This window comes from Homo sapiens, chromosome 20, assembly GCF_000001405.40.
Source record: "Homo sapiens chromosome 20, GRCh38.p14 Primary Assembly".
NCBI classification, from domain to species: Eukaryota; Metazoa; Chordata; class Mammalia; order Primates; family Hominidae; genus Homo; species Homo sapiens.
This window is the reverse complement of record NC_000020.11, coordinates 29475269-29498518: the sequence shown is the minus strand read 5'-3', so window position 1 is coordinate 29498518 and position 23250 is coordinate 29475269. Positions and strand designations below refer to the sequence as shown.

At 36.3% G+C, this 23250-nt stretch overlaps 1 pseudogene across 1 annotated transcript, besides 1 other annotated feature; it reads left to right on the top strand.

The window, feature by feature from the left end:
- Nucleotides 1–23250: part of a centromere (Linear centromere model derived predominantly from reads generated in PMID: 17803354. This region does not represent an actual centromere sequence, as long-range ordering of repeats and unmapped WGS contigs is not provided by the model. For details of model production, see http://arxiv.org/abs/1307.0035.) that runs on past both edges of the window.
- On the top strand, nt 1185–22640 carry FRG1EP (FSHD region gene 1 family member E, pseudogene; annotated as a pseudogene). Its single transcript, NR_146067.1, has 7 exons — nt 1185–1706; nt 3564–3633; nt 7547–7672; nt 10306–10420; nt 15974–16065; nt 17051–17161; nt 19829–22640. The product of NR_146067.1 is annotated as an FSHD region gene 1 family member E, pseudogene (transcript).

Sequence of the window (23250 nt, the reverse complement as noted above, 5' to 3'; positions counted from 1 at the left end):
CCAACGTGAGGAGCCCCTGTGTGTCTCCTTTGTTAATGCCTCTGGGCATCATGGCATGTGGATTGTGGTGGAATGGGGATTAGGAAGCGCAGCACTGTGAAAACACCAGAAAATATGATAGCGGGTAAGGACGCTAATCTCTGCACATTGAGATGGTTTTGTTTCTGAGTCAGGTTTGAGATGAGCCAATCCTGACTCCATGGTGCCACTGGGGATCACAAATTTAGTAAGATCTTCGTGGATGCTTGGAACCCAACTGGTCTCTGTTTTCTACTTTAGGGAAAGAGCCACAACTTGAGTGGGGTGGTTTTGGTGTCACATACGTTATCAATAATACCCACCGTTTTGGTGTCACATAAGCGATTAATAATACCCATCGCTGCGGAGGAATCACCGTGGACTACTCCTCGTTTCATCCCATGCTCTTGCGATGGATCCCTGTCACCTGTTTACTGATTTCATTCAAATTCTTCAGCGACCACAGGACTCCGATTTGCCTTCTCTATCCTGGTTCCCATCACTCTGCTTTACAGGCCTGGCCTGCTCGCGGCTCCTCACACCAGCGCTGCACGGCTCCCTCCTCGCCTCTGCCCTGTTTCCTCCAGCAGACAGGACTAGCTTCCTCCATCTCTATCGGGCAAAAGCCTGCCCAGCGTTCAAGACCCTCCTCAGATGCCGCCTCCACGATTAGGCTTCTTCCTGACCCCTGAGCCTGTAACACGCGCCACCATAACTCTCCACCTTAGCCCACATTCCCACAGCACTCGCGACGTCCGCGGCCCTCAACATGGCACTTCATTCTATTTTAGGGTATTTCCTGCTTGTTTCCTGCACACACAGTCGCGCGAGGCACAGCCCCGAGTGACCCGCGCACGAGTGGACCGCGCTTCCAGACTCGCCGCCGCAGGCCGGCGAGGGCAGCCTAAGCCGCTTCCCGCCCCCGCGGGGACCGTCACCAGCCCGCAGCTCTAGCGGGAGGCGGTTCCACAGCGAGCCCGGCAGTCCCGCCACCGTCAGCACCGGCGCCTTGGGCGAGCTTTCCCCACTTCTGGGAGGCACAAATCCTCAGGGGCTCCTCGAGAGGAAACGAGGGAGCAGATGCGTGCGGACACCTTTCGGCCCTCTGCGGCCGCGGTAGCTCCCTGGCAGAAACCCGGAAGTGGAAATCTCAGCCATTCAGCGTTTGGGTAAAGACGAAGGCGGGTTCTGGACAGACTTACGCTGTCAGGGAGTGTTTACTTTGCCTCAACTTCTTTTCCTCCCCGCCCTGGTGCTGCTCCAGGTCACACACTCGTCCTGAGCCGGCTTCAGCCTCTCCGCACAGAAGTCTCCCGGAGCCATGGCCTAGTACTCTTATGTGAAGTCTACCAAGCTTGTGCTCAAGGGAACCAAGGCGAAGAGCTGGGTCCTGCAGCTCCAGCGGGAGCCTCCTCAGTTCTTTTCGGATGCACTCCACCCCCGCGAATCCGGTGGAAGCCGTGGTGCGGAGAGCAGGCTTCGTGGCCTCCCAGGTTTCGCGGCCTCCCAGGTTTCGCCCTGACCCTGTCTGGGCTGGACGGAGGCTGGACCGCGGTTCCTGGCGCCTGTGCAGAGAGGGGCAGCCTCCCGCGCGGACGACCCTGTTAACAGGATAGATGGGCGGGTGACCCGTGGCCCCGTACCCACGAGTTTGGGTCCGCTGAGGCATCTCTCCCGGCCTCTGCCTGGTGGGTCTGCGTTTGTCTGATCTTGTAGTTCATGATAATAACTTCCTTTACTAGGGATTATTCTTTTCTCCATTGTCTCTTCCTGGAAAAATTATTGATTATTTTTTTCTAAGCTAGTATGTAGAGTGAAACCAGGATGAATCACACAGTGGTTGAGGTGTATATAGGCTTTGATAGGGATATGGGCTGGAACCTGCACTCCGTCATTTACTAATTTTGTAATTTGTGGCAAATTGGTTAATATGTCTGAACTTCCATTTACTCATTAAGAGATCAAGTATCTTTAAACCTCCGTTTACACATTTATACTTTCAGACCATTTTTTATACCTTTAGAAGACTGTGAGGATTAAATTAGAGAACGTATATGCAGTAAATAAATTGAGCCAAATGTGAGGAGGAGGTCGTAGTGGTAATTTATTAGCTCTTTAGGAGAAAAATACCTGTGCATTCATATCCCCGCTTCTTTTTTAACTGGCAGATTTGCCTGAGGTTGACTGTACATACAAATATTGAGCATTTCCTCCTGGTCTCCGTGATAAACAGAGGTTTTGATATTGTTAGGCGAGATGGAAAGAAAGTATCAAGGAGTGAGCTGAAGCCACTGCCCTTGAGAACCCTCTCGAGGAGTCTGGCCTCATGAAGATGCCAGAATAAATGGCAGGTATATCCTGAATGAATGTGAGATTTTTACTCTGTGAATTTCCTGTGAGGAGTGGTGAGTTATCTTCTGAAAACTTTATGATGAAAATGGAGACAAGAGTGTCTTAAGATTATCGTAATAATCATAATTAATGCTTATATAGCACTTTCAATGCGCCAAGAAATTGTTGTAGGCACTTTGCACATTAACTTTTTTCAAATCGCTCCTGGGTTTTTATTTTTTTATTGCGATGTAATTCATAATTATGAAATTCACCCTTTTGTACAGTCAGTGGTTTTTAGTACATATTCAAGAGGTTCACCACTGTCTAGTTGCTCAACATTTTCGTCATCTCAGAAGGAAATCTCTTCCTACCCATTAAAGCAGTCACATCCCATCCTCCCTCTCTCCTAGTCCTTGGCAACCACTAGTCTGCTATCTATGTGAAATTGCCTATTCTGAATATTTCCTAAGAAATCATGCAACATGTGACCTTTTGTATCAGTCTTCTTTCACTTATAACATTCTTGAGGTCCATCATTGTTGTACCACTTGTTCCTTTTTATGGCTATGTAGTATTCCATTGTATGGATGTAACATTTTGTTCATCCATTCATCAGTTGATGAACATTTAGGTTGTTTCCCCTTTTTGACTATTGTGACTAATGCTAGTGTGAATAGTCTTACGTAAGTATTTTTGTGGGTGTATGTTTTCATTTCCCTTGGGTATACATACTTAGGAGTAAAATTGCTGGGTCATATGGTAAGTCTTTAACTTTTTGAGGAACCCCAAACTATTTCCTGTAGATGTTGCACCATTTTACATTTCCACCAGCAATGCGTGAAGATACATATTACCTCTTAATCCTCACAATAGCCTTAAGAGTTATTATCTTAATTTTTTAAGTGGGGAAACTGACTCCCAGAGAGATTCAGTACCTTTTCCAAAAATCACAGAGCTAAGAAGTGACAGAATCAGGATTTAAAATCTGGCAGTGTGGCTCTACAATCTGCTTTGAACTTTAACATAATATGTACAAAGCCTGAAGCAACTTCTCAGTACTGTATTTAAGAGGGCATAGCAATGTAAGTCTTCCTAAATCAATACTTTATAAATGAAGCAGCTTAAAAGACTTCCAAGTTTCAATCTTACGATATTTATTTATCACACAAATCAATATACCTAAACTCATCTGTATAAATAATGTCCTGTAGTAAGAAGAAAACGAGGAAAGATAAGAAGAGAAAAAGAGAAGAAGATGAAGAAACCCAGTTTGATATGTTGGTGAGTCAGTTTTCAGTGCTTTATTCTGAAAAAAGTTAACATTTCCTGAGATCTCATTGAAAATATTTTCCTAGTTAGAAATTTATGATGTATTCATATTTGTCTTAAAGTGCTTAAATATTACCTACAGTTGTAAATTCCATTTATTCTTTAGCACAGTAGATGCTACTGATCCCTTTACTTCATTATCAGAACAGAGCACAGGAGAGAAGAATTACAACTCTCTGACTTAGTAGGCACCATTAGACTGCTTAATAGCCAGAGATTCTGATACATAATTTTAAAGGCTTAATGTAAATGTTATTCAACCAAATATATTTTACAAGTTATTTTCTTTGAACATGTATACATTTTAGTTGTAGAAGTCAGTTGTCTCTTAAACGAAGTATCTTCACAGGAAAAATCATCATTTTGTGAACTCTGAAATGAATGAAAATTTTAAATACAATATCAGGGTAGCCTGTAAATGATACTAGAAATAAACTGACCCAAACACACTTAACCAGCCTGTTTTCCACTTAGTTGTTTCCGTACTTTTTTTCTCTTTTAAAACTTGGCAAATTGCATTTTGAATCTTCATAATTTATGGTAGCTTAAAAAATATATAAAATATGGAATGGTATAAAGCTAATGTTCTGGAAGAATCATTACTTTTGAAATGGCAAATCAATAATTCTAAAATTAGCGTAAATATCTAGGGTAGATATGTAGATGTGGAATTGCTGTGTCAAAGGATAGGTGAATGTTTAACTATATAAGAAACTGCCAAAAGTTTTCTAAAGTGGTTGTGCCATTTTACTCTCCCACCAACAATGAATTAGTTCTCCAGTTACATCGTTGCCAAGAGTCGATGGAGTTATCAGTCTTTTCTCCAAGTCTGAGTTTTACCTTTTCAGTTTCTTAATGGTAGTTTTTGGATGGACAGCTTTTTTTTTTTTTTTTTTAAGATTTCTATATTGGTGTTGATGGGAGATATTGGACTTTTGTATCCTTTTCTTGTAATGTCTTTATTTGGTTTTGGTGTCAAGGTGATATTAGGTGTCATAAAATTAGATGGGAAGGGCTGTCTCCTTCCCTGTTTTTGGAAATAGCTGTGTAAGATCGGTATGATTGTATATTGTATGGATTATATTGTATGGATTAGTTTGGATATTTCCATAATAAAAGGTTTTAAGGATTCTGTTAATTCCACTGCACAAAATTTTCTGTTCAACTAAACATTTCATTGGTGAAAATTTTGAGGAGCTTGTCTCCCAGAAATTTCTTCTTCATTTGCAAAACATTAATGAGTTATTATATTTAAATTATTTTATTTAATATTAAGTGTACTTGGTGAACGTGGCATAGAACATACAAAATAAAACTAATTTAAAATTATTAACTATTACATTTATAAGAAAGACTTGCTAATCATAACACTGTTCATAATGATTTTGAATAAAGCATTATTTCTTTTACTGAAAACAATTGTAGCTATAACTCAATCATCTAAATCGTCATTAGTTTTATTGCTTTCTAATCGTCTTTAGCTGAAATTTTAATTTTGATTAATTTTCTTTTTCTCCATTGGTTTTGTGTGTGTGTGGAGGTAAAATATACAGAATATAGAATTTGCCAGTTTTTCTATTTTTACGTGTACACTTCAGTGGCATTTAAATACATGCACCATTTTACCTTCCCACCAGCATTGCACAGGGTTTCAGTTTCTCCACATCCTGCCCAACATTTGTTTTTCTGGTTTTCTTTGTTTCTGTTTTTTGTTTGTTTTGATAATAGCATTCTAATGGGTGTGAAGTGGTATTGCATTATGGTTTTGATTTATATTTCCCTAGTGATTAGTGATGTTGAGCGTCTTTTCGAGTGCTTATTGGCCATTTGTATATCATCTTTGGAGCAGTGTCCGTGTATATCCTTTGCCCAGTTTTGAATTGTGGTATTTATCTTTTTGGAGTTCTCTATATAGTCTGGATATTAATTCCGTATCATGTATGTAGTTTACAAATATTTTCTCCATTCTCTGGGTTGCCTTTTATTCTGTTGACAGTGGTTCTTGATGCACAAAAGTTTTTAATTCTGATGAAGTCCAGTTTGTCCGTGTTTTCTTTTGTTGCCTGTGCCTTTGATGTTCTATATAAGAAATCATTGCCAAATTCATTGTTGTGAAGCTTTTCCCATTTTCTCCTAAAAGTTTTCTAACTTTAGCTCTTACATTTAGGTCTTTGGTCTATTTTAAGTTACTTTTTGTATTTAGTGTTATATAAGGGTCCAACTTCATTTTAGCTAAAATTTTATGTATTTTAAAATTGATAATGAAAAGGATGAAATGTTTAGTTGAATAGAAAATTTTGTGCGGTGGAATTAACTGAATCCTTAAAACCTTTTTATTATGGAAATATCCAAACTAATCCATACAATAAAATCCATACAATATACAATATAATCCATACAATATAATCCATACAATATAATAAGTCCCCCATGTGCCCAGGCCCCAGCATTAATTATCAATATTTTGCCAAGCTCGTTTCATTTACATACACACCCCCACACACATTTTTTCCTAGAAAATTTTAAGTAAAATCACAGATATTACATCATTTTACCCATAAGTATGTAAATATACATTTCTTAACGTGGTATGTCTTTCTCTCATCACATGTTTTGTTCTTTACTTTTATACATTATACTGTGTCATTATCAGACCTTGTAAAATTAACAAGAATTCCTTAATATGTCATATCCAGTTAATGATTGACTCATTTCTACTCTAGTTAAAGTACAATTTAGGAGGAGGTTTGAGGATATTTTTTAACATTAAGATAGAAACTTTTATAAAAACTGCTAAAATAATTGTTGCTAGAGTCTAACATTTCTATTGGCAAATTGGAAATTAGTATACATAGGCATAGATTCTGCTCATTTTGCTTTCAATCTAAAATCACAGTTAAGATTACTGGCTGGGTGCGGTGGTTCACACCTGTAATCCCAGCACTTTGGGAGGCAGAGGCGGGTGGATCACGAGGTCAGGAGTTCAAGGCCAGCCTGGCCAATGTGGTGAAACCCCGTTTCTACTAAAAATACAAAAAAAAAAAAATTATTCAGGCATGGTGGTAGGCTCTTGTAACCCCAGCTACTCGGGAAGCTGAGGAAAAGAATTGTTTGAACCCAGGAGGCGGAGGTCGCAGTGAGCCAAGATCGCATCACTGCACTCCAGCCTGGGCGACAGAGTGAGACTCCGTCTCAAAAAGAAAAAAAAAAAAAAATTACTATGCTAGAAAGTCTTCCTGTAGAGGCAATTTTAAGAAGCATTATGATAGGCATTGCCTCTGGAAAGCAGGCATGAATAGATGGCTGGGGTCTATCATGAGAGAGGCCATTCTCCATATATCAATTTGTACCTTCACATGTTGCCTTTTGTTTTGTTTTGGTCTTTTTTTTGAGACAGGACCTTGCTCTGTCACTCAGGCTAGAGTGCAGTGGTGTGATCATAGCTCACTGTAATCTTGAATTCCTGGGCTCAAGTGATCCTCTTTCACAGCTCCCCGAGTAGCTGGGATTACAGACATTCACCCTCATGCCTGGCTGTATGTTGCTTATTTTGTATTTTAAAAACCTAATCCTGACTGTGCTGGTAGTCACATGAATCTGTGCACATACATGCAAACAAGTACATGTAAAACTGGTGAAATCTGAATAAGCTTCATGGATTATATCAATGTCAGTTTCCTGATTCTAACAATGTATGATACTTATGCAAGATGTCATCATTGAGACAGTGAGTAAAGGGTATGTGAGATCTTCGTATTATTTCTTATGACTGCAAAATAAAAAGTTTTTTAAACTAAGTTATAATAACAAAGAACTCTCTGTCAAAACTAAAATATGAAGTTGAAATATCAATTTTATTTTTTAGGAATCTGGTGGACATTAACAAACTTTGGTGAAATTCCAGGAACCATAGCCTTTGAAATGGATGAGGGAACCTATATACATGCACTCGACAGTGGTCTTTTTACCCTGGGAGCTCCACACAGTGAAGGTTTGCCTCTGGAAGGGAAGATCCTGCCACAAGTGTAGATTTTAGGACATTCATTCACTTAGGCCAAACTCTTAACTAGTCTCAAACGTTTTCCAAAGGAATGGAACCGTTGCATTTGACTCTTCCATTTTTTTTAAATTCCTTAATATTTACCAGCAATTGGCAAGTCCCTTTTTCTAATATAAGCATTTGAAAACATTCCGTATAGTTCCAGAAGAGTATCTTTGGAAATCAAAACAATATGAATAATTAAAATAGTAAGTGGAAAGAAAAAAGAAAACCTATTTGAGTCAAATATGTTTGAATTTCTGTTTTATTCAGACCTATTACCAAAACTAACCTGGGTGCATTTAACAATTTGAAGCTTCCTAATTTTCTTTAGCTCATTAGAAGAAGCACTAATGAGATACAAAGTAATTAGAAGATAAAAAGCAGTATCATTTGGTCAGCAAGGCCATCCATTGAATAAATGAAAGCATTTAGCTTTTTTAAATAAGTGCTTATTTATGACTGTATTTTAAAACATAAAGAGAAACTATATTGAAAGTTATTAAATAAGCATTATATCACCCTGTCTTACTCAGTGTATAAAATTAGCACTGTAGTTAAAAGAAGGTAAAATAGAACTTGATTCCAAAGAACAGTATTACAGTGACATCAGTATATCTGAATATTCTTACATTTAATTGCAGAAGAAAATAACCACATTTTTTAAAGCAAAATAATGTCTTTATATTTATAGCAAATGTCAAATTTATTTTCAAATGTTTTTTCTCCAATAGTTGATGAGGGCCCTAGTGCAACAGAGCAGTTTATGGCTGTCAAATTATCTGATTCCAGGTGAGCTTAAGTTGTAATATAATTAGTAACCAGTTATTTTAAAAATTTAATTGTATTCATTAAAAATTTTAGTATCTGTCTTAAGCCCACGGTAATTTTGATATAAAAAACAAAATAGCTTTTTTGAAAAGTAGATTTTGTGATCTACTTTTAGTGGATTTCCTATCAATATATAATGCTAGGCTGGTAAAAAGATTTGTAAGTTAAAAAATGAAGACTAATAATTTCACACACCAAATAAGATAGATTAAAAAATAAATAGTACAAAACCTGGTTCACTGTTGCTATGATATTTAAACTCACTGTTTGGAAGTCTAAAGACAAACAGGAAGACTAAAAAAAGGAATATTGTTGAAACCAGCAGAGAAAGTTACAGCATCATAACGACCAAAAGAATATTTTTACTCAGTATTTTTACAGTCATTTTATAAAGTACCCTTTTTTATTCTCACCTTGTGCAGAAGTATGGAATGATTCTTTGGGTAAAAGATACTGAAAGTGAATTTGCATATTTTAGTAATTGGTTACATTGACATGATAATGATTTCTGTTATATAATCATTAACGTATAAAGGACTAAAAGTCAATTCTGGCATCTGAGGAGATTCTTGGTAAGGTAAAAGAAATCATAATTTTAAAAAATCACATTAAGATGATTATTTCTATACTTTCTTTGGAAGTCTGATAAGTAGGGTAAAAGACAAAGAATAGAAGCAGAGGAAGAAAAAATTCAATAGTTTTAAACTGCTTTACAATTATAAACAAAAAAGGATTATAAAGAAAATTAACTGACAAATGAGGAAAATATTTGCAACAATCTTAATAGGCAGTGAGTTCTTACACTTCATATGTATCTTGTATAGAGTTCATAGCACTGAAGACCCCAGTAAAAAAATTGCAAACAATCAGATCTGAATAGAAAAATGGACAAGGAACATTACCAGATAATCTAAAAACTAAAAAGGAAAGGAAAAGAGAAACAATTGTTATTCTAGTTAACTACTAAAATGCAAAGTAATAGGATACTGTTTTTTTCCATATCAGGTTTTCAAGTATTTTTTTAGAGTCATAATGTTTAAAAAAAAAGTCCATGATACAAAACATACTCTGTTAATTTGAGGTAAGAATGTAAATGGAAGCAGTATTTTCTGGAAAACTGATGACATAAAGTTTTAGTAATTTATTATTGAAGTTTATAACTAAAGAGGTATAATTGAAGAATGATGAATTTTGAAAATATTTGTTATGTAATATATAAGGTACAATGTTTATATTAAAAAAGCAAAATATAAAACTAAATTTAAAGCTACACTGTCCAATATGGCAACAACTAGTCATATGTAGCTTTTTTTTTTTTTTTTTTTTTAAGGCACAGGGTCTCACTCTGTCACCCAGGCTGGAGGGCAGTGGTGTGATCATAGCTCAATATAACCTCAAATTTCTGGGCTCAAGCACTCCTCCTGCATCAGCCTCCCCAAGTAGGTGGTATTACATGTGCACACCACCAAGCCCAGCTAACTTTTTAAATGTTTTGTAGAGATGGGTTCTCACTATGTTGTCAAGGCTGATCTTGAACTTCTTGCCTCAAGCAATTCTCCCATTGCCTTCCCAAAGCACAGAGATTACAGGAGCGAGTCACCACTCAGCCACATGCATCTTTTGAACACTTGGAATATGTCCAGTCTGAAATTTTACATATGTACACACCCACACACATACACATGTCCTGTTTTGATGTTCTATAATTAATTTTCTCTCAGTTTTTAACTTTTATGTGTCTTATTAATATACAGAATCGCCCTGAATTCTGGCTATGGAAAATATCTTGGTATAAATTCAGATGAACTTGTTGTTGGGTGTTCAGATGCAATTGGACCAAAAGAACAATGGGAACAAGTCTTTCAAAATGTAAGTGCTGTTATTGTTTATAAAAACTTCCTGTCAGTTTAACAGAAAGTCTGTAACAGTCAATCATAATGTATTTAAAAAGAAAAAGTAGGATGCAATAGTATAACATATTAAATTGGAATAAATCAGTAAGAACATAGAGCCTTAAAGAGATCTCAAAATATAGTGCAACAAAAATAGCATTAGTACTTTTGCCCACAATTATTTCTGTATACCCTTAGTGCCTAGTTATGGATCTCATTTCCATTGAAGAACCAGTCAATTTTAGATCACAGAGTGGGAAAACAGAATAGTTCCTAAGTATCTTCTTTGTAGCTGAAATCATGGATGCTTTCAGAAACATTACAGACTGTAAGTGAACGTTGGAGCTAGCTAAGACCAAGTTGTGACAATTTGCTTATAAAATATAAATAATAATAGTTCATTGAAGTAAATTATCTCTAAAAGACTTTCAGTTCATAAGCTAAAAATAGCGTATGAAAAGACAGTTTTAATATAAGAAGAAAAAAGATACTAATTCTTGATTTTAGTAAGTAGACAGTTGTAGTACATGGATGTTTTGTTAAATCTTTGTTGATACAGAATACATAATTTCCTTTTTCTGTTTGTGTGAGAAGTAAAGATTGAACAAAAATATGTGAGTGCTAAACTGTCTTTAAAAAGTAGATAACTATATCAAAAGCAGTAAGGACCAGTGGGCACCACGCAGAACAAGCAAATAGAAGATAAGCTCAGCCTTTGAGTAGCAGCTTTGGTAGTATACATTAATGAACTGAAAGTAGGAACTCAGCAGTGTTTTCTAAGATGACAGATTAAACAAACATCCCACCAGAAAGAGGTAATCACTTAGACTAATTTCCTCATCCCCTAGGATAAAATCTTAAGTCAGTGACTTGAAAACTATTTTGACCCAATCCATTGAGAAATGCATTTTTACATTGCAGCCCAGCACACACATATGTGTAACTGAAGCAAGAGTTGTACTTAACAATACTTACTTATCCATGTGTTATGCACTTTGATATCTCTTATTCTCTTTTACCCCTTCCTCTGTGTGTCTGTGTGTATTCCTTTCCCCCCCCACCCATCCAATACCGTTCAGGAAACACTACATTGATTTCATTACCTGCTAATGTGTTGCAACCCCTTTGAGATGATCCTACTAGTTATGATGAGATGCTTCTAATAAAAGTTACACCAGTAGAAAATGCCAATATTTCATAAGGCCAGGATGATGACTTAGATAGTACTAATAATACAACACTTTAGGAAAGTTCATTTCATTTTATTTTTAGGAAGGACACTAAGTTTCAAAAATTTAAATTTAAATGAAAGACGGTCTTAAAACTGTATTGCAAAAAGGACTTAGCTGAATAATCTGTGGCACAGGTTTAAATCACCTTGGACCACACCGCCATGTTCCAGGGCTCACCAGGAGCCATCCAGATGAGAGACCACCCAGCTCTTGTGACTTGACTAAGAAATCCATGTTATCAGCACATTTTTAACTGGATGTGATATAAGGTTAACATATTTTGTAATCATTGTATTTATAAATATTTTGTCTAAATGTTATGGTATTCCAAGTTTTCCAAAAGAATCAACCAAATACAAGTTATAAATAAATATTATATTTGTTACAGGAGTTAAGCTAAACAAATTTACAACCCAGATTTAGATACACAAGAAAATCAGTTTTTAAAGTTTTGTTTAATAGAAAGCAGTGTAATACATCAAACATTAAACAACTAAAAATGTATATGAATATTTATTTTCACACACAAAAGTCCCTCAAACATTGATTCTTAAATTCAAAACACCAAAGGCATTGTATATACCTTTTCATGTTTTCTAATTGTGAAGAAAATAAATTTTACTTAAAATGCTAATATTTGAATAAAGTATGCATTCATAATTATGTTCTTGTCTTTAAAGTTAATTTTTCAAACAGAACTAAATCAGTTTTATCTTCAGTAGATCTTTTAGAAAGGAAGCAATCCTACCTCATCTAATTAGAATTTAGTCCTACTAGGAAGATACGCTACAAATGTTTATTGTGGTAATCTTTGAATAGTAAAATGAAAGGTGATTTTGGTTTCCTTTTCTATATGTTCTTGTATTATATTTTTCAGGTTTTTCTCTAAGTTCTTCTCTGTGATTTTTAAATCAGGGAGGAAAAATTAATTCAGTCTAAACACCTAATGTTTCTTCTACAAGAAGTATCCTCATGGCTATTTTGTTATTTTGTTTCACTTGGGGGAAAATGGCTTTGTTGGCCTCAAATAGCTGCTTTATTAGATGCAATGAAGCAGGCGACATAGAAGCAAAAAGTAAAACAGCAGAAGAAGAAATGATGAAGATAATGATGACATTTTATACAGATGACTGCATTCACACATGCGATGTGACTGTATCTCTTTAAAATGTTAAGTCATCATTTACTGTCACTTTAAAGATTTAGTTAATAGTTTTTATAATGTGGTGCTTCAAGTAGACTCATTTTTAATTACAAATCCCATAGTTGATGGCTTGTTTATACAATGTGGTAGAGAAATCAGTGCATCTAGGAGCTACCTTGCCATTATCTCCATGGATTAGTATCTTTTTCTGGTAGTTCCACATGCTCTTTTTAAACTTTCATTTTCTTGTTTTCTTGTTTGTATTTTAAAATCTAATTTTTAAAATAGATAACATGTACACGTGGTCCAACATTTTTAAATAAAAGTATATGAAGATGAAGACATATGCCTACCATACACCTTACTCACCTGTGTCCCAGCTCCTGTTCCTCTTTCCCTTTGTTTTGTTTTTTTATAGCCTCCTAAAATTTCTTTATAAACATATGAATATATTTATAATTTTCAACTGTTTTACACTAAAGGCAGCCTCCTCTATAGTCTTCTTGACTTTGATTTTTTTTCCTTAAAATTGTATCTTGGAGAGTTTTCTACTATTAGTTTGAATGTAGAAAATTTTCTCTTTTTCTTGCTTTTCCTCTCTCTCTCTTTTTTTTAACAGCCACATAATATTCCAGTTTAGGGCTATACCTTAATTTATTTAGTCTTTTATAGATGGAAATTTAGGCTGTTTCCAGTCTTTTGCTCTTATAAACAGTGCTGCAATACATACCATTGAATATGCATCAATTTGCAGATGTGCGGGTGGACCTGAAGAAAAATTTCCAGAAGCAGAATTACCAGGTTGGGGTATACGCATTTGTATTTACGTAATGCTTGAGGTTCTGTGATGATAATCACTCTATGAAACATAAAAAATCATAGCAGAACTTCTGGGGCCTTAGCCCTTACATTTTAAAAATATTTTTATTAATAGTACCTGTCCTCCTTTGCATTAGGAGAAACATGAATCACATAAAACATGATTTTTATTTTATTTTGAAAATTTGTGTGCATCACTAAGCTGGAAATAAAAGTTCCTTATTCCAGGCTAAATTCCCTCATCCATAGTCAGATGTGTTATCCATTGCACCAGTGGCCTGTGCCCTCCCTAATCCTACTCTTTGTTTTACATCTTTGTAATAGTTACACAGACATCTTCATATCAAGGTGAAATTCTAAATAACATTGTTAATATAAGCTAGATAAATCAGGTAGTTAACTGGAATTTGATGAAAACATTTAAGGCTTAATTTTTTAGACTCACAAAAGCCACTGATCTTTAATGATAAACATATACCAGGATGTGTCTAAAGAATAACTCCCACCTTCTTGACACATGGCTTTTCTGTGTCTTGGCATTTCATCGCAGTACTGAGCATCCTGAACCTTGCTTTGTTTGTCTCTGTTGGGAATCACAGGTTGCATCCAGTCTGACCCAGATTTGCTCTGTAAGGCATTGTGGGGGCCAGAGTGGAAGGCTCTAAGAGAGGGGGCAAATGCCTTTTCTAAAATGCCCTTCGTTCTTATAATTAGAGCATAAAAATTTATGTTACATTTTTCTCTACTACCAGTGTAATTTAAAAGCATCTATCAATTCTCTGTATGTGCTTCATGTTAGATTTCTGGTCATATGTTTGATTTTCTTCTTAGAATAGTCTTGATTTCAGATAATTTCAAATCCAAAGCTCAAACAATTTCAATCTAAAATGTAGGTATTTTATTACAGTTAGAGAAGTGAAATGTTATATTTTTTCGTTGCATGCATCCGGCATATGAGTTGTAGTCTTGAATTTCCATAATGATCCTGTGAGGTGGATATGAGCTCAGCCTTACAGACAGGAAGACAGCCTCTGACCCTCCTTACATCCTCGTGGTTTTTGTCAGTCAGTTCATGGAAATCACAGTGATTTCAAGGTGTGGTAAGACAGGATGTGTACCCAGGCCCAGCTGACTCCAGAGGCCACTCTCAGTATTTCATAGCACATTGCTTCTCAGGAAACAGGTCATTGAGGAAATGCAGATGGGTTTGTGACTTACATTTAATTTTACTTATTTATATTTTATTGTATCATGTTTAAATTATTTTTCATCTGGATATCATCACAAAAGTGTTATTGAAGGCAACAATTGCAAATATATGTGCAGTGCTTTGCACTTATACAAAGATACAAAGATACTTACACAAAGATTGCGTTTTTCACTATTTAAAGAAATTTTCAGATGAAATACCAAGTTTTCTGGGTCTCTTTGGTTAGTCAAGTACTTGGAAGCTCTGAACAGTGATTATTTAGGACACTTTTCGTACCATTTAATTGCAAGCTCTCCTAATCTCTGTCAGCCCTTCATCTTTATGACCTTGCCTTGTCTACCAGAACACACATCCCTCTTACTAAAGGTAGCATTGTGCTACAGGCCCTAGCAGGGAATGTTTTCAGGTCTGGGACCCCTCTAATCAAAACTGTCACAAAGATGTCATTGGCACAAACACGTTATTTGTCATCACTGTCTAAGCAGCCCTGGAACTGGACTCTGGCCACAGAGATCCCTTAGGAGACATGAGTCCTTACCATTGCCAATTGCCTGTTCTGTGGGCAATCCTAATTGTTGAATGCAGATCAATTAACTTATGACATGTGATAGTAAACAGCTATCCAAACTTAGGAGGATATAAGAAGCTAGTAAAAGAGGTGGGTTCCAATTAATTAAAAACAAGTTGTGTAATGTTAAGAATTTTAATACTTTGGTAATAGTCTGTGCAATGTAAAATAGCTATTAAGCTTTCAATCTGATCAAATGAACACTTGTCTACTAGGGATAATTTGATCCTAGTGTATTCACTTGGAGGACAAAATTAAATTAATGATTGCTTTATAGCCTAGCAGGATCTGATGTGTAAAATGTTTCTGAAATAATTTTGTCTGTAGTGTTTCTGACACAAGGGCTGCAGAGGAAGCATGTGATAACACTTACTCATATAGATTATATATATGAAGTAAAAACACATAGCCAGAACCTGTCTTTTTCTGAATATAGTTGCTCAGTTAATTTTTTCTTCTGCATAAGAAATCATCTCGAATATTCTTATGTGATACGTAAAGTGGGGAAGGTGGAAGATAAACATATAACCCATTGGATTCTCTTTTCCAATATCTAGATTAGATCCTGTGCTGAAAGAGAAACCACGAAAAAAGATGACATTCAAGAAGAAGACAAAGGAAATGTAAAACAATGTGAAATCAATTATGTGTATGTATGCTTTTCCTTTTAGACCTACAGATTTGACAGTGAAGTGCTTCTCAAAGTGCTTTCAAAATAAATCACCTAATTAGCTGGGGATGGTGGTGCATGCCTGTAGGCCCAGCTACTCGGGAGGCTGAGACAGGAGGATTGTTTGAGCCCAGGAGTTCAAGGCTGCAGTGAGCTCTGATCACCACTGCATTCCAGCCTGAGTGACAGAGCAAGACCCTGTCTGAAAAAATGAAAACTGATGGACAAAAGAGGCAACACAATGTAGCCTCTGGGACAGAGCACTGAGCTAAATGCTTTTCTTTTCTTGAGGGTTCAGTTTTCCTAATCATCCTACCAGCTCCCAAAGCTAGTCACTGGGGTTAGTCAATCTCTCTATTCGTTCATGGAATGGGCATGATGCCAGTCAAAGGCTGTGCTATGGCCAGGACACAGAGGACTCCAGCCAGCATGCCCTAATAGAAGTAGGGCCTTGTGCTACCCAGTCAATGAGTGGCCCTCCTCTTGAGAGGTCACGAGGGTCATCTTTGTTGTTCAAATGCTTCAGCTTATTAAAAAAAATACAATTAGACTTTTTTTTTCTCCCCCAAGACGGAGTCTCGCTCTGTCCCCCAGACTGGAGTGCAGTGCCACGATCTTGGCTCATCACAACCTCCGCCTCCCAGGTTCATGTGATTCCCCTGCCTCAGCCTCCCAAGTAGCTGGGACTATTGGCACACGCCACTACGCTCGGCTAATTTTTGTATTTTTAGTAGAGACTGGGTTTCACCATGTTGACCAGGCTGTTCTCGAACTCCTGACCTCGAGTGATCTGCCTGCCTTGGCCTCCCAAAGTGCTGGGATGACAGGTGTGAGCCACTGCACCTGGCCTACAATTAGACTTTTTTAATAAGTGAAAAAGAAATTAACAGTATTTATAAATTTAATAGTAAATATGTATAATCAGAGTTTGAGGTATTTTTCAATGAAGACATTTTCTTTGCAGAAAGAAATTTCAGAGCTTCCAAGACCACAAACTTAAAATAAGTAAAGAAGACAGTAAAATTCTTAAAAAAGCTCAGAAAGATGGATTTTTGCATGAGACGCTTCTGGACAGGTAGCTATTTATTTACTTATTTTCACTATTTTCAGTAGCCAATAGAAATGGCATGTAGAAAACCTATATTCTCTTAAATTACTGTAGTTTTCACATTTTTGTCTTTATTTATAATTTATGAGTGTGGCAATATTACCTAGAGAGGACATCATGAGTTTGGGAAAAGACCATCAACAAAGAATATCTAAAAATTATAACCAATTCTAAGTATATACTTTAAGAAATTCAGGTTTGACTGTATCTACTTCATAAATTTATCATTATCTTTTTATAACTATTAGAACCAGAGTTAGAAAGAAGCAGTTTGGCTAATATAAAAATTATGTGGATTCTGTTAGAGTAGTTCAGGTTCTTTAAAATAAGCATATATCAACTAACAAACTAAATATAAAAGCTAAACAAGTGAAATTGAAGCAGTTTTATTGTAAGATTTGGAAGAGTGCAGGATGTTTATCATAGCACATTATTAATATTTATTACTCTTCCTATGTAGATAAGTAATGTCCTAGATTTACACCATAGAAAAACAGGTAGAGACGTTTAGCTGTGAGTGTACAAGTATAAATCAATTAAGTGCCAGATTTTGATCATCACCAGTCGCTCATTCAAGTCCTATGTTGCAAAGTTACTCTTACCCTTTTTTTACATTACTTGATAAAGGCAATGTTTAATTACATATTTCCTGTTAACTAGCTGGTAGAGTTCATACGTAAAGTCAGTAAATGTTACAAATTTTTTCCAGCTGAGCAAATGAATATGTATCTAGTTGTAAGAAATCAAGAAGAGGATATAAAATATAATCAGGATATGGACTCTAAAACGGAATAAGCTCCATGTCCTGTAACTTTTCTCACTTGTAATAATACAGCATTCTCACCCTGTTAAATGGAAATTTAGAGCACCCTTAAATTCCGGAATAATTAAAATTGCTATTTGGATTGAAAAAGCCCTTAGGCAACATTTATTGAATATTAGGAAATAACTTTTATAGGATTAGAATCCATTTTTTATAGCAACCAAATTTAAAAGTATACATATTTTAATATAAGTGTTGTGGTAATACAGTAACCAAAATTGAACACACAGTTTTAAAGCTTTTTATATTTAGTAGCAGTTGAATATATATGGTATGTTTTACATAGATTAATTTTACTATTTTTCTTTGTTTAAACAAGAGGGCCAAATTGAAAGCCAACAGATACAGCAAATGACTGGGATTTTTGTTTCTGCCTTATCTTTTTGTGTTTTTTTCTGAATAAAATATTCGGAGGAAATGCTTTTACAGAGTTCTTGAGTTGTTGTGAAATTATTGTTTAGCTAGTAGCTAGTTTAACCAGGATTAAACAAGTTTAATCAGGATTCTTCATGGATGTACTTTTTAGCTAACTACAGTTTTTCACATGGAAATGAAACTTACAGTACACACTTAACGTACCACAGAATTATTTTCTGGGTTTCCTGTCCTGAAGCATGAAGTGCACTAGAAACCAATTCTTCCTGCGCTACTTGTGGAAACTTTCTTACTGGATCATAATCTTACTTTACTTTATACAATAGATGCTTAATCAGTGCCTTTAATAGGAAGTTAGAAACTCCCAATCCAATCAACAAGGCTTTGATTCTACCTCCTAAGTACTACCCAGATCACAGACAATCCAAATATTAGAACTAGGGGGCTGGGCAGAGAAGACAAATCATCTATTAGGGAGTGGATCAGAAAGTGGAAACATTACAAAGGAGCAAGTAGGCTCAGAACAGAGGGGAGAGTAGTACTGAGGAAACTCCCTACTGAGGACAGATTTGCCACAGTGGATATGTATGTGATGCTTTTGTCCTCCTGGCCTGGAATGGAAGCTGATAAAGAAGTTCAGACGCTACGTGTTGCTTAGGTCTGCTTTGTTGAAGCCTGTCTCTTTCAGAGTTCCTAAACACAATATTCCCATGGCATCTAATCCCAGTGAGTGCTCCAAAGCCAGGCTGTGTATCAGATGCCACGGGAAATTCTGCCTCAGGAGTGAGATTGGTTTAAGCATCTGGATGATGTCAAAAGTCCACGTTGTGTGCTGGCCTAACCTGAAAGACCCTATCTAGTTCTAGCCTTTAAATTCCTTCTGTCACCAAATCTAGAGTTACATGGCATCTGTACAAGCTAGGTAGCTGAGGCATGGAATCAGCCCTATAAAGGAGCTTTTGGAGCTTTTGTTGTAGATCTAGCTTCAACTTGGCACTCCAGTTCCAATAGCTGGACTTTCTCTCATCTTGTGTTCTGATCCTTGGATTGGGAACAAAGTAACCACTCTGATCCCACAAAGCAGTGGTTCCAGTTCCCAACTGGTGACTATTTTGCCTCCCAGGGGACATTTTTGGTTTTCACAACTGGAATACGGTGTTAGAGAGTAGAGGTTAGGGATGCTGCAAAGCATATGGCAGAATCCTGTTCCACCCAGAATGCTAACAGTGCCAAGGTTATGGAGTCTTCCCACCCAAGGGCTTGGTCTATTCCTTGCTTTTGCCAGCTCCCTAACCCTTAAACACAACAGTTCAAATCTATATGCATAAGCATCTCCTAGGGACCTGCACGTTTCCAATATTGACTACTGAGACCCATCCGTAGAGATTCAGGCTTAGGAGGTCTAGGATTGGGCTCAAAATTTGCATTTTAATAAGTACTCCAGGTCATTCTGAAGCAAGTGATAGAAACCACAGAATGAGGAACACCACCTTCAAGAGACTGATTCTTGCTTCCCAACACTAGCTTGGTATCTGAGACCATCTGCCTGCCGACTGGCTTTCCTGGCACAAACATTCTGCATGTAGGCACAGTGTGTTCCTGGACTCCATGCCAACCCGTTCACCCTCATGTTCCCTTGGTTCCTGTCCCCAGTCCAGCGAGCAGAACTGATTACAGATCTTGACAACAGAAGATACAGATTTAAAATAACTTGCCTGTTCCCGTGGACTTTATCCACTAGTGAAGGAGGACAAGTGGACAAGGGGAGAGGGTAGGTGGGGACTGCTTCCCTATTCCTCCCATTCCACTTTATACAAACCGCAGCTAGACCACTGGGAGAACAACGGAGGTTAAGAATGACTTCATCTAAATATTGTCATCTGGTCCACTCTTCTTCCATCTTGTACACAAGGATATCAGGAGTTTTGTTTAAAGCACTACTGAAACCAAGATAAACTCTGGCTTAGCATGCCACTGACGGATCAGTCTAGTAATCTTATCAAAACCAAGATTACTTAAAAGCACTAACCAAAGGAAAAGCTCCCTCACCCCAACCTATGACTGCTCACATTTTTCAGATTGAATCATTTCAATTGTATTTTAAGGTTCATTGACTCTTTACCACCTCCAAGCTGCTCCTGAACACAACTGATTATTATTTTTTAATTTTGAAAACGTTCTCACTTCTAGAATTTCCACTTGAGCCTTTGTTATTATTGTAGTTTCTTCTTCTCTGCTGTGATTTCCTATCCATTTATTTTAAGGGTTTTTGGGGTTTTGATTTTAGTAAGAATTACAATAACTACTTTAAAAATCCACACTAATTCCAACATCTGGGTCATCTCGAGGTCAGTCTCTATTGATTGCCTTTTTCTTTGAATATGTTTCTTTATACATTTGTTATAATGGGATTGAATTCTGAAGATTGTAAAACTAGATTTTGTTTTGTTCCTCTGAAAATTTTGATAATTTTTTGTTGTATTTGTTGTATTTTGTTTTTTTTTCTATTGTATACTTTACAATATATTTTCCTCCAATGGTTTTAACATATCTATTTCTCAAAATATTTATGTTTATGTTAAAAATTATACAAAGTAGCCTGGTGCAGTGGCTCCTGTCTGTAATCCCAGAACTTTTAGAGGCCAAGGCAAGAGGGTCACTCGAGCCCAGGAGTTGGAAACCAGCCTAGACAACAGGGCAAGACCCTGTCTCCACAAAAAATTATTAGGGTGGTACAAAAAGTAATTGCAGGTTTTGCCGTTACTTTCAATGGCAAACCCCGCAATTACTCTTGCACCAACCTGATAAAAAATAAGCTGGGTATGGTGGTGGCCTGTGCCTGTGGTCTCAGCTATTTGGGAAGTGAAGGCAGAGGTGGGAGGATTGCTTGAGCCCAGGATTTCCAGACCAGTCTAAGACCCTGTCTCTGAGAAAAAAAAAATAAAATTAGCTGGGCCCACGTACCTGTGGTACTAGCTACTTGGGAGGCAAAGGCAAAGGTGCCAGAATCACTTGAGCCCAGAAGCTCAAGGCTGCAGGGCATTGTGATTGTGCCACTGCACTCCAGCCTGGGTGATGGAGCACGACCCTGACTCCAAATAATAATAATAATTACAAGAAGGAAAGACCTAGAACACCATGTTAGGGTTAAGTATTCTAAAATTTAGCTGACTTACACTGTTCTCTATAAAACAGGTTGCCACAGAAAATATAGCATGCCCAGTTAATTTGAAATTTCAGATAAACAAATACTTTTTTTAGTGTAAGTATATCCCATGTAATATTTGGGACATGGTTATACTAAAATATTATTGCTTGTTTATCTGAAATTGAAATTTAACTGGGTATTACATAATTATAGCAGCCTGACCATAAAAGATGTAGGCTGAGCAAAATTCTACTTTAAACTTCAAGCTTTATACTAAATGCATTATTAATCAAGAAATATTATTTACTGAGACCTGTGTAGATCCCCATATTTATCTTTTTAAATGTGGAACTAGGAAAGCTACATAAAAAAGCATTTATAGAAATAAATGACTGTTCTATAGCTGAAAGGAAAACTCTAGCTTTTATTTTTCTCCCCAAACTTAAGCTTTATTCTACATTTGTATAAACAATAAAATTACAGCTCAACTTTGGAAGCACAAATCATAATATAAAAATAAAGCAAAGATCCCAGAAATATTTAACAGGCAACAAATCTTTCACATCATCTTACTATAGCAACTAAACATATAATAACTTAGAATGATCCATTAATTATAAGTAAAGAATAAATTCTTTTACAAAGCATAACTATTAATATTATTGACCATCATAAGAGCAAATATTTTAAGTAAAACACCATGAATACTTTACAGAAAGGAGCGAGTTGCGACAGTCATTCTTGGATTTCTTTCAACAGCCGGCTTTCTTCCCTTTTGTCCTGAACTAGGAGTTGAATATTTTCTCTCTTTCCCCACTGACCCTCTAGTCTCTGAAGCATCTTTTGTACTAGAGGTATGTGGAGAGACTTCCTGGAAATTTGGATTTGTAAATTGTGCTGTTGTATCTTCTAGGCACGGCAGTGATCCAGATATAGAGCCGTTGCTCTTGCTTCTATAAGTGTAATATTTTGATTCAAAAAAGGAAGTAAAAGGAAGAGAGTTGATTACATTTGGCTACTGACATTAATAATAATAAATAATAATTGTACTTGTAATATAAACATCCGAAAGTTTTAGTTATAAGAATGGCTGTCCACATAATAAAATTATGTAAAAATAATTAATGTCTATTATAATTACTTTTCTTTAACCGAAGAAAAAGTACAATTTAAAGACGGCTGTTTAAGGATCAAATTGCAGCAATTGGTAAAAGTAGATATTTGTCGTATTTATTAAGTGACACACAGTGATACTGAAGGCACTTATTTCTCAAGAAACATCATTTTTTTCCCAACAAGAACATACTACATCCTAGACATGAAATGAAAATAAGCTTTAATTTTCACTACGGGAGGGCGACAATCAGAGAACTGAGGTGGTACAGATCCATTAGAGGACAATATCCATGAGTCTATCAGTCTCTACTATAGGACAGAGCAAGAATTTTTAAAGAATCTCGGTGAAGGCTCCTTTTCAAAAAAATACAAAGATTAAAGCCTTTGAAATGTAAATTATTTTTTCCAGTTATTACATTGAGGACAAAGTTATAGTTGCAAAGTTAAGATTTTTATAACTATCCCTAAAATTGATTCTCAGTGACTCCCTTGATCTACATATGTTAAGGAAAAAGGCAAGATGAAGATGTGTTAAATATTTTCCAGTTTTTAATAATCAGCTTTAATATAAGGTACACCCAAATAATGGTGAAT